Raw genomic sequence first — 13,064 nt, 5'->3', positions numbered from 1 at the left:
CAGGGAAAGTCCTACTTCTCTTTTTCGGGTTGTCATGAGGTGTTCCTGGGAATGGACAGAGTTTTAAGCTGACCCTTACTTTTCTGAGTGTTATTATAGCTCTTTGGAGATACCAACTTATTGCTGTGAATTTCTTAACAAGCGTTCTCTTCATGCGGGGCAATTCATCTCTGGCTGCTGCTGGCTCTTTCCTTGGCCGTGAGAAATCTGACAATTCACCTCACTATAGAGTACCAAAGTTAACTCTCACTCACATGTGTCGCTCATCCCTAGCTTCGCCATTAACACTAATGCATCTTTTGTCCAGAAAGACTCTAGGAGTGTCAGTTGGCGAGTGACACCAACTCTCCTTCCCTCTGCTGTCATAAACCAGCCAACCAGATCCTTCCATGTTAGATGTCTCAGGTGTGTCTGTAAGGCAGACGCAAGTCCACTGTGTTCTCCAAAGTATTCGGCTTGTATATTAAACTCTTTGCACATCTCCTTTAATCCCCTTTCCTAAAGCATGATTTGAAGGGCAAGCACACTGACCCCTCCATCTTACAAGTGTGTAGGACTCATTACACATCAACAAACTGTTCTCTCTAATCCTGGGTCTTTTTATCTTCACAGGCTAAGTGTTCCTAATAAGGGTTAATGACTCCTCTTTACAATTTCTGTATGGTGGTCTCAATAATAGTCTTGGGGCTTTAGCTGAAACTAAAACCAGGGTAGTTCGATAGTGTTATAACATCCTGTTACATAATTATTAGGAGGATAAACCCCAAACGCAAGAGTATCTAGGAATAGTCTAGCATGTGACATTCATTATATTTAAGGTTTTGAAATTGGAATTGTACTGAAAAATAGTTTTTTTTTCCTTGATGTCATTTAAGGTTATATTGTATTTGTTCATATAAATAAATAGTCTCTTCAAAGTTCACAGCAAGATATGCTCTTTTCAAGAATGATTTTTCAATGGTGACTCTTGATCTGTTATAAGATGTAGCACAATTAATTTAACCTATAACCTGGTGTTAGTCAATTATAAAATTTCCACTCCTTTTTGTATTAAGGTGATATTTTGATGTTTTATCTTTCCTTACATTTATTAGTACTCTCTAGAATACTCTTAGATTGAGAATTAATATATTTTTAAAATGATCATTTTTCTGCTCTTAACAAATACTGATAATTTTCTCCTAGAATGTTGGTCTTGCTTCATAGTTATTCCAGAGTGCATAGAAATTTCCAGCTAGCAATAAGCCATTAATTTGTTTTGGGTTTTAAAACGTTCATATTTTTGTAGTAAAATAGGTTATTTCCTTTGTATTTCTTCTAAGATATTCTTTCTGGCACCATATAAATATTCACATATATTTTATACTATTTGAAATATTTTTCATGTTTTATAACTCTCTCTACATATTGTAAATTATTCATTTAAAAATCCCTATTCAAATGAAACTGACACTTCATTTTTATTGGCTACTTTCTCCTTAATTTATGAACACCTAAATTTACTTCTCAAAGTGTATATATTACATTGAAAAATCAAAGTTGGTAAATATATCAAGCATACATACATCCCTAGAAAATATTAAATATGCATTATACCACTTAGATTGTCGTTACTTCCTACATTTTTAAAATTTGATAGAAAATTTGTCATACTGTTGTTTACAATTCTTTATGTACATATGTTTCTATAGTTAATTCTTAAATATTTGGATTGTGGAAAGATAACAGGTTTCTCAATTTCCTATGGCACCTAACAATACCCTATGAGTGTATACTTCATATTAATGTATATGAATGTATATTTCATACTAATTCTCCTGTAACTTAAATATTCCTTTGATATTAATAGTCACTTCTGGTTTAATGCCTGCAACAATATTGAAGGAAGAATTGATTTCCAGGAGTTAATGACACCTATATCTTTTGGAAAGACCTCATTAAGAGAAGCATAAGGAAAGTACCAGGGGTAGAAGTTAGTTCTGAGTCCTTTATAACATGGGACATAACGGGCTTTAAGCATTCTGAGCCCACCTTTATTCCACCCTTAGCTATATATGCTTTGGGGTTTATGAGGTTTGACTCTTGAACAATGTTAGTGGAAATTAGGCACGGGGTATTTAAGCTAGGTAGTTTGCCATTCTTCAGAAATGTACAAAAACATTTCACGTTCTCAACCAGGAAGTTCACTATACATTATCTTGTAAGCATTTGTGAAAAAAATGATAGTTGGAATATGGTTGCTCTGGCAGCTTCAAGAAATTGAGGCCCTCCTACTTATTATGAGGCAAAGTCCCATGCCTGAGAGAAAATGAATAAATGCCAAAAATAACAGGATGATAATCGACATCATCATCAAGGAGAGCTTACATCTGATGGGGCACCCAAAGAGCTTTTATTATCATGGTAGCTTCTCTATTTCTTGTGAAAGAATGTTCTTTCATCTGCAGAAATCGAAAGACCTAAATATGGCTGAGGGATCACATGGATGTAGCTGAGATCCCACTGGGCAGGGGATGGTGAACCTTGCCATTTGCCTCCATATGTTTTTCACAATTTCTGGACTTCTTCATTTTGCTAGGGAACTACAGCTAAACTGCTCATTAAATATTCCACCAAGAATGCTAATCTTCAAAAACTGTTACCAGCTTTTGAAATAATCACTGATTTTTTTAGAACAATTTCAGAAATTTGCCGGTTCTGTTTCTTGGAGGACTGAGGAGGAGATCAACACTTGTTATTTATAATAGTTTGGGATTAGACTCACTTTAATTTCTTATATAAAACGAGATGTATTTCTTAAATGATTTTTGATAAAATGTATTTGGAAGGCATTTTTTGTTTCTGATAAAGACAACATAAATCATTAATGGGTAACATTTTCTATTAGTTCAACTTTGAAATGATATGGCATAACTAATTTAGTGTCTTTTTTATTTCCATAAAGGAAAGTTTATTGCCTTCACAGATTTTTTTTGATGATATACAATTATTAGATTTTAAATTAGCAATATTGGACTCCAATGAAGTGAGCCCTCTAATCTTCAAGAATTAGTCAAGGACAATGGGCCTTGGCTTAATTCGTTTGTGCTGCTATAACAAAATGCCTGAAACCGAGTAAAATATAAAAAAAAAGAAATTTATTCCCTCAGAGTTCTGGAGGCTGGAAAGTCCAAGATCAAGGCATTGGCAACTGGTAAGGGCCTTCTTCCCGTGTCATCACAAGGCAGGAGGTCAAAGTGCACAAGAGAGCAAATCCTCTTTTGACAGCCATTTATATCCTGCCCTCAAGACCTAAACACCTCCCATTTGGCTCCTCCTGCCAATGCTGTCACATTGGGGATTAAGTTTCCAACATATAAATTCTGTGGGAGACATTCAAACTGTAGCAGACCTTAAACAATTTTTATAAATCACATAATAGAATTGGCTCTGAAAATGATGCAACTGCCTTAATAAATCATTTGTGTTTGCACATTCTAAGCTGGTTTCAGCCTATAATATTTCCTCATTCAAAATGCAAATCAAAACCACAATGAGATATCATCTCACACCAGTTAGAATGGCAATCATAAAAAAGTCAGGAAACAACAGGTGCTGGAGAGGATGTGGAGAAATAGGAACACTTTGACGCTGTTGGTGGGACTGTAAACTAGTTCAACCATTGTGGAACTCAGTGTGGCGATTCCTCAGGGATCTAGAACTAGAAATACCACTTGACCCAGCAATCCCATTACTGGGTATATACCCAAAGGATTATAAATCATGCTGCTATAAAGACAAATGCATACGTATGTTTCCTGCGGCACTATTCACAATAGCAAAGACTTGGAACCAAGCCAAATGTCCAACAATGATAGACTGGATTAAGAAAATGTGGCACATATACACCATGGAATACTATGCAGCCATAAAAATGAGTTCATGTCCTTTGTAGGGACATGGATGAAGCTGGAAACCATCATTCTCAGCAAACTATCGCAAGGACAAAAAAACAAACACCGCATATTCTCACTCATAGGTGGGAATTGAACAATGAGAACACATGGACACAGGAAGGGGAACATCACACACCGGGGACTGTTGTGGGTGGGGGGAGGGGGGAGGGATAGCATTAGGAGATATACCTAATGTAAATGACGAGTTAATGGGTGCAGCACACCAACATGGCACATGTATACATATGTAACAAACCTGCATGTTGTGCATACGTACCCTAAAACTTAAAGTATAATAATAATAATAATTTCCTCATTCATACATCCTGTATATTAAGTTGCCATATTAATTTATTGAAAGATTTTTTAGTATACTTTCCCACAGTTTAGCATTCTTCTAAGGCTCCTTACTTCTAACACAAAGTCCAAGCTCTTTAATCTGACATTTAAGTTTTTCCACCAACAGGACCCAATTGATCTCGTAATCTTGTCTTTTTTAATTCTTGATAATCAGCTTTTTCCACTAAAAAGCTGAAATGATTAAGGAGAATAAACCCATACTCATGATTTTTAAGGAGAGCAGCTGAAACACTTGAAAATGACATAAAATTCCAATTTATATGAGTTTTCAAAAACAAAAATCACATCTTCAATTAATTAGTCCCAAGGAAATATGGTATTTCCATATGATAAGCTATGCTGCATATCCTGTGGCTTTTTGGAGCACCTATTCTAGTCTATTCTAACCTTTTTTACAGAGTTGATATTCAATATTTGTATGTTTATTTTGATTTTTCTTTGGATTCTTAGATTGGATGGGCTTAGGTATATCTTCTGGCTAACAACCTTGCCCATGAGTCCCAGCTGGAGAATACATTATAATTCTCCTCAAAGGCAACACTCTGTTCCAGCTGATTATTTTTCACATATTGCTCCTTGAGGGAGTCTTATGGTTTTCTACTCCTTTGCTTTTGTTGATGTTTTGACCCCTTCTTTCCCCTTTACCCAGGAAAACTCCCCTTCTCTTCTGGCCTTCTCTGAACTCCTAACTTAAATTTTATCTCATCTAGGAAATTTTTATCAACTAATATAGTGTAAAATATATATTCTTCCTTGAAATTCCTAAATCACTTTTATTTTATGACCCCTATTTTATTATTAGTCATTGAGTATGTTATAGTATCTCTTCTATTATATATAACATATTTTAATATTTTATTTAAATATTTTATTAATGTACCTATGTCCAATTCTTCTAATTTGAAAGTTAATACCTTGAGAGAAAAAACATATAAATAATTGTCTCACCCCAGCACCTATTCTAGTCTATTCTGATCGTTTTTACAGAGTTGATATTCAATATCGATATGTTTATTTTGATTTTTCTTGGGATTCTTAGATTGGATAGGCATAGGAATATCTTATTCAAGAAGTAATGTGCATAAATAGGAGAATTGTATGGCATGTGAATTACCTCAGTAAATTTGTTAAAATAAAATGAAGTGATGTGAAGAACAAAGACAGATAGATTTTGGCAAACGTATTTATTTTGTTTTGTTTCTTAACGTAATTTTATTATTTAAAATGTAAATAAGTGGAAATAGTGTAGATTTTTATTTTTTCTTTAAAGTGAAATCTAGTTTTTGAAAACTGTTTTCAAGCAGTTGTTTTAGCAATGAGACACTATCATTGACAAAAAAAATAGAATGATTTCTCTCAATATGAACCCATGATGATGGAAAATGCATAGAAAGATACTTCCTATACCTTCTACCAAGATGATTTAAAAAGATAACAGCCATACAATAAATCATCCTTTTCTTGCCATTTATTCGTTTTTCTAACAATACAAGAAATTTCTGAAGTCTACATCATTTTAATTCTCTGCTCTGTGATGTGTTCAATTATTATGTTATTACCACTGTGTTCAGATAACATATTTTGTTATACTTGTCAAATTCAAGAAATTATATTAACAGGGAAACTATTTGCCAAAACTCAACCTGTTAATAATAGTATTCAAATGAAAAAGAAAAGTACACTTTTAAATTCTATTTTAGTTTGAAGTTGCTCTGATAAGTCCTTAAGGACTTTAGAAAGAAACTGATAATAGTACTAGTATTAGTAGTAGTAGTATAAGAATATCCAATTATTATTATCAGAGAGTCAGAAATTTGCTGCTGATAACAAGAATTTTATACAGCTACATTCTTTCTTCTTCTTTCATCTAATTATCTAATTTCATCTAATCACAGCAACTCTGAAATTCAGGTACTGTAACACCTATTTTATAAATAAAAAGACTGAAAGTTAGGAAGATTAAGTAGCTTATACATATTCACACAGAAATTAAGCAACAGAGCCAAAATTTGAATCCAGGTGTGTCTGAATCCAAAACCTATACAGTTTTTTTTACAATTCTTGAGTTCTTGTCTTAGCCAGTAGTAAGCCATTTCTTCATTTGTAAAATATGGAGACCAAATCATACGTACTTTTATTCTATAATGTTTTTCTTGTACTTCTTATAGTCATCTTTAGAATGAAAAATGATTAATAATTTGAAGGACAAAATGTTTAAATGTTGAAAATACATTCACTGAGTAGCAGCATAATAACCACATATTAAGTTAGAAGTCAGAATTTTTATATCAAATATGAAGCTATAATTTAAACATTAATGTACAAAATGATTTTTAGAGATGAAAATATTCCCATATGTCTGAAGGTACAAATTCAGACATTGGGTCAATGCCAAGACCACTGATATTTATGTATATGTGTGGAAATGGGCCCCTTGTGTGTTTCTGTGTGTGTGTGACACATACACAGCACATATGTCTGTTCTCTAGGGATAGTAGCATAAAGAATTATACCACTAAACCATAGTAAAGTAATAAAATGCCAAGTTTTTTTTAAGAAATGGTTTGATATGCTTTGGATGTTCCTTTGAAATATCATGTTGAAATGTAATTCCCGGTGTTGGAGGTGGAGACTGATGGGCGGTGTTGGGGTCATCAGGGTGGATTCTTCATGGCTTGGTGCTTTCCTCACAATAGTGAGTTCACATGAGATCGAGCTGTTCAAAAGCTTGTGGCACCTCCTCCCCCTCTCTCTTGCTCCTGGTCTCACCATGTGATATGCCTGCTCTAGCTTTGCCTTCCACCATGAGTAAAAACTCCCCAAGGCCTCCCTGGAAGCCAAGCAGATGCCAGTGCAATGCTTGTACAGCCTGCAGAACCCTGAGCCAATTAAATCTTTTTTCTTTATAAATTACCCAGTGTCAAGTATTCCTTTATAGCAATGCAAGAATGACGAAATACATGGTTCTATTGGTGTCACCAAAAAGGTAAAATAATGGTAAACTTCATTCTTTATCTCTTAATTGAATCAATTTTTTACCAGATCCATTGTTCTGGTCTCAACAGACATTAACACAATATTTACAAACAGCAATTTATCAGGAGGTGAATGAAATAAAAGCTCAGCAGTGCTAAGATGCATGTGATTGTTATGCTTTCTTGTCTAAAGAGAGGTTTTTATACTTGTAATTTAATGACACGTCAGGAAAACATCTTGGAGTATAGTGATAAGAAATAAGTTGAAGTATTATATAAGTAAATTGTTCCTTTATAAGTTGCCTGTACATATTGACTTCATACTTGCACTTGGCAACTGAGCTAGAGGCAATACTGTATGCTGCATACCACAGTGCTAATCAGACCATTTGTTTTTCTCCTCCTAGGCAGACAGGAAGAATATATTTCTGAGCCCCTTGAACCAATACAGAGTAATAGAGCAAGTTCTGGCCAAACAAATGTGACAAGAAGTGACACATGTCTATTTCAAACTGGCTCCTCATGGAACGGTATATTGTAATTGCCCATTTCCCTCTGTCTGTCTCTCCCATCCATTTCTTGGAGGCAAAGACTCAGAGTTGGCCCAGATACATGACAGAAGAAGCCCAGATCCCTGTGTCATGGTTCGGAGAGGAGTGAGTAAAGTTTCTAGCCCACCTCCAACTTGGATGAAGCAGAAAGAAAATTCTATTGTTGTAAGCCACAAAGATTTGAGGGTTTACTCATTACTCACTAGAGCAGGGGTGCCCAATCTTTTGGCTTCCCTAGACCACACTGGAAGAAGAAGAATTGTCCTAGGCCACACATAAACTACACTAACACTAATGATAGCTAATGAGCTGAAAAAGAAAAAAAATGACAAAAAAAACTCATAATATTTTGGGAAAGTTCACAAATTTGTGTTGGGTCATATTCAAAGCTATCCTGGGCCACATGCAGTCCATGGGCCACAGGTTGGACCAACTTGAACTAGAGCATATCTTGGCCTATCTCAACTAATACAGCTCCACGGTTATTTGTGTACCATTTTATCTCTTTTTACATATGTCTAGTTTTTGACAGTAAGGGCTTATATCTTACTCATCTTTGTGACCTTAGTCACATAACACAGTACGTTATATGCTATTTGTTTAATCCCATAGATTTCATAAAATATCATGTTGTTTCCATAATTGCTAAAGGGAATATCCATCTATTCAATGCACATTCATTGAGCTCTTACTTTATGTTGGCACTGTGCTTGGCTTAGAGATTCTTTAAGTTACTCTACTTGTCATCTGGAAACTTTCAATCTAAAAAGCAAGACTTGTATGTAAACAAATATGTATATAATGGGATTAAGATAGAGAAAAAATTTGTGGTGTAGGAAGAATATAAAGGAAGAATCTATCAGCTCTATCTGAAAGGTCAGAAATTGCTTCCAAGAAGGTAAGTTATTTGAGCCTAATCTGAAGGGTATATTGCAGTTCATTAAATTACATCAACAACCAACAAATGAGGTAATTTGAAAACACTCTTCCCACTTGTGTATTTTGGGGGTTGTATATTCTGCACAATCTTCTTGAAAAGCTAAACATTTATTAGATACATCTCAGAAGTATGGTGGTCTCTTTCAGATTAAGGCTTTATCACCCTGGACTTGGGTGTAGTTTACAGATGTGATTTTTCTTCTAGATGTGAAAGTGCAGTTTAAATGTAAAACTTCAAAGAACAATTTCAATTCAAGAATCCAGAAGCAGGAAGAAAACAAGGAAAAGTCTCCAGTAGTTAAAAGACTACAGTGAAGCTTTTACTATAAAGTCCATATTTTAAGGCATTACTCACAGACCAATTTTATTAAACTCATTATTCTAATTAGCTTGGTTACCTTATGAGCTGGTCACAATAGATTAGAATTGAGAGAGGAAAAGCTGATGAAGACAGAATCACTACAGAACTAGAAAAGGGCCATATAAAAGCCTGAATAAAGAAAGACAGAGGAAAACTATAAAACACTGACATATTTAAAAAGGCATAAAGTCTTGGAAAATTTCATGTAGGGAACATCAATTTCACACATTTTCTAAAGACAATAATATATTATAGCCACAAAAACGGTATTTGATAATGCAAGTGTTGACACTGAATTATTAGTGAAACTATAAATTTTAAAAGTTTGCCCTATGTAGAAAGAACAAAATACATGGAATGTACTTTAGAAAGATATGTGGTAAGTAGGTAACCCTTTTGGAAATTATTGATTCTATTTAGGGAAAACTTCAATTATCTAGAAAACTAAAATGTAGGACCATCTAGTATTCTATAATACCTGATAGAACATTTATTATTATTATAAGCATTATTTTACATTCTAAATTGTCTATAGAACAACTTAAACTTTTAACAATATTTTATTTATGGCAGAATATTTGTATTACATAGACAGTCCTCAATTTATGATGGTTTTACTTAAATTTTTTTATTTTACAATGAGCTTATCAGGGTATTAAATTTTTGACTTATGATATTTTAGACTTTTGATGATTTCATTGTGACGTAACTCCATTGTAAGTCAAGGAGCATCTGTATAAAACAATTTGTTGAATACATGAATATACAACTGAGTGAACAGAAATATCTAGTGTATATAAGTAAGATGTTAATTAGTTGTCACAATCCCCAGGTTGGTAAATTTCATTAAAATCATACATTTCTAAAGAAAAGAGGCTTGGTTGATACTGATGTAGCTTCCTTCATACAATATTAAAAGTAGATGCTCGAAAAGAATTTTAATTGAGATAGGTGTTCTCCTCAAAATTGTATATATATATTTAACAATATACAGTTATCAAAACTGCACATTAAAAATGTAATTTTATGTTTGTCTTGTAATACTTTATTCAGGCTGCATTTCTAAACAAAACTACATTAATTCAACAGCATTTATTAAATATGATGTTTGATCATGAATGCATGTTATAAATACAGTGTTGATTATTGTTACCCTAATAAAATGTAAAGGCTTGACAGTCCATGGATGCTAATACAAAAGCAGAAGATTCATTCTGATATTCAGCTTTAGGTTCAAAACAGATGTCATGGCCTATTCATCTTTTTTAAAATTACCAATATTTACCTGGTACCGTTCATTTTATCAAGGTTTCACCATCTAATATTTTGCTGGCATTTATCAGACCTTTGTAAAGGTAGGGAATTATTGGAAGGAATGTTAAACTATCCACAGTATCAACATAATTTGAAAAAAGACTTTATATTTGCACACATATCCTTAGAACTTCTATCCACATGGGATATCAGAAACTGGATTCCCTCTCTCACCTGAAACAAACAAATAATGAACAAAATATATTGAAACAATTATTTCTAAAACACTAGACATCAGGTAGAAATGACACTCATGACTGAGAGTTGGAAAACAAATAAGGAGAGCCCCATGGCTGCCTGCCTAGCTTACTGCCTTGAGAGAGTTTTGAGGCTACGGAGCAGAGAATGAGCTAAGCCCCGTGAACTTTCTGAGTTAAAGAGACAGTTGAAAGTCCAGGAACACCAAGGCAGCTAAAATCTTCAGGACAGACTCCTGGAAAGGTGAGAGCTGCACAGAAAGTGAACTGTCCTCTCCCTCCCTAAATGATAAGAGTGAGCAGTACTGGGGCTTATATAGGGCCCATAATAGTGCCTCTCCCCACCAGCCAGAATTTAGCAATTCCTTTAATTTCACTTCAATTTCTCTTTCTTCTAAAATTTAAAAATATTTTTAAATTGAATACATTTAATTAAATATTATAATGTAGACCATGAGGTAATTTTTGTCTGTCTCCTTATAGAAAATGTTTAGCTGTCTTTCTATATCTGTTCATAGTGATATATTCAGTGATGTATGGGCTTGCAAATCTTTAGTAAATGGCTTTCAAAACAACAACAAAAAACAGCAACACAAAAAGAGCCTCTGAGTGTAGTCTATTTCCGTGGTGTTAATACTCCCATCATGACTGATTTCAGTCTACTAATGTAATGTCCCTGGGTACAGAGCTGGGACAAGATGCACACAATTAGTTCTCAGAAGCCAGTACAAGCCAGTTCCAGCACACCAGCAGACATATCTGTAATTATGTCCATCAAGTGTTAACAGTGTTTATTTCTGAGGATTGGGATTTGGGACTCGTCTTCTTACTATCCTTCTGAAAATTAATATTATAGTTAACATAATATTCATTTCTTTTTTCAAAAAAAATTCATTAACGAAAACAATGAAAAAGCCTTGGAAGAGGGAAGATGTAGGAAAATAACCTTTATTAGTTATAATTTTTAGTCATTTTTGTACAAAATATAGGAAACAGCAAATAAATGAGTGGGTAAAGAAATACAGTTCTGGAAAACGGCAGATAGGAGGCAGGACTAACTTGCAGCTCCCACTTGGATGGGCAGGACAGTGTGTGGAGACCCAAATTGTGAACCTTTTCTCCAAGAACCACGGCAGGAACATACCAGGAAAGCTGAGAACTTCCACAGACTTTTTGAAGTGGATGGATTGTTGCTGCAGGCTCTGTGGGGCAGCAGAGGAGCTGAGTCCCTTTTCTTTCTCAGCTAGGAGGCTTGTAACCTGGGGTAAGTTCTCAGCCCTGGAAATAAACTCAGTCCTGTTGTCAGGGGCACAGAGGGAGTGAGATCAGCCTTTCAGGCTGCAGGCTGCATAGGAGCTGGGTGAGGCCTGAGGTTGCCGGCTTTCCCCTACTTCCCTGGCAACCTGTGTGAGGCAGCAGAGGCAGCCATAATCCCTCTGGGAACCACACCCTCATCCCCCACAGCAGCTGCAGCAAGCCCCACTCAAGGAGAGTCTGAGCTCCTAACCCTGCCCTCCACTGATTGTCTTTCTCTACCTGCCCTGGTAGCTGAAGACAAAGGACATAGTCTCCTGGGAGCTCCATGGCCCCACACACCGCCTGATCCTAGGCCAAGCTTGTATCCTCCCTATACTACTGCAGCTGATGTGCTCTTGAAAGCACCACCTCCTGGCTTGAGGCCAACGAACACAAAATCAGCAGTACTTAGCAAAAATACAACCAAGAACTCTCATGGAGTCCACTTCACTCCCCTGCCGCCTCCACCGGAGGAGGTGTTAGTATACACAGCTGAGAGACCTGAAGACAAATCACATCACAAGACTCTTTGGAAACACTCTCAAGCACCAGGTGGAGCCTGGCAGCTCAGCTGAGTGGCTAGATCCAGAAAAGAAATAACAATCACTGCAGTTTGGCTCTCAGAAAGCCCCATCCCTAGGGAAAGGGGGAGAGCACCAAATCAAGGAAGTACCCAATGGGACAAAAGAATCTGAACAGCAGCCCTTGAGTCCCTGATCTGCCCTCTAACATAGTCTGCCCAAATGAGAAGGAACCAGAAAAACAATTCTCATAATATGACAAAACAAGGTTATCACCCCCAAAATATACTAGCTTACCAGCAATGGATCCAAACCAAGATGAACTCTCTGAATTAACAAAAAAAAAAAAAAAGAATTCAGAAGGTCAACTATTAAGCCAATCCAAGAGGCACCAAAGAAAGGTGAAGTCCAACTTAAAGAAATAAAAAAAATGATACAGGATGTGAATGGAAAAATCTCCAGTAAAATAGCATGAATAAAAAACAATCACAACATCTGGAAATCAAGTACAGACTTAGAGAAATGGCAAAATGCACTGGAAAGTCTCAGCAATAGAATCAAACAAATAGAAGAAAGAAATTCAGAGCTCAAACACCAGGCTTTTGAATTAACCCA

The 13,064-nt window shown here is 35.4% G+C and overlaps 1 protein-coding gene across 4 annotated transcripts in view, besides 1 other annotated feature; it reads right to left on the bottom strand.

Annotated features, from left to right (window-relative positions):
* NPFFR2 (neuropeptide FF receptor 2) overlaps positions 1–13,064 on the bottom strand; it is a 116,306-nt gene that overhangs the window by 41,684 nt on the left and 61,558 nt on the right. The window lies entirely within an intron of this gene.
* Positions 11,649–12,148: an enhancer, noted in NCBI's record as "H3K27ac hESC enhancer chr4:72960191-72960690 (GRCh37/hg19 assembly coordinates)". NCBI's record gives its function as "activates a minimal SCP1, AML or CMV promoter by ChIP-STARR-seq in primed H9 embryonic stem cells {active_cell/tissue: H9 hESC(primed)}" and the evidence as "EXISTENCE:reporter gene assay evidence [ECO:0000049][PMID:30033119]".

The sequence above is a fragment of the Homo sapiens genome, chromosome 4 (assembly GCF_000001405.40).
Source record: "Homo sapiens chromosome 4, GRCh38.p14 Primary Assembly".
Taxonomy (NCBI): domain Eukaryota; kingdom Metazoa; phylum Chordata; class Mammalia; order Primates; family Hominidae; genus Homo; species Homo sapiens.
Note: the sequence above shows the minus strand (reverse complement) of the source record. Positions and strands in the feature narration are given on the sequence as shown.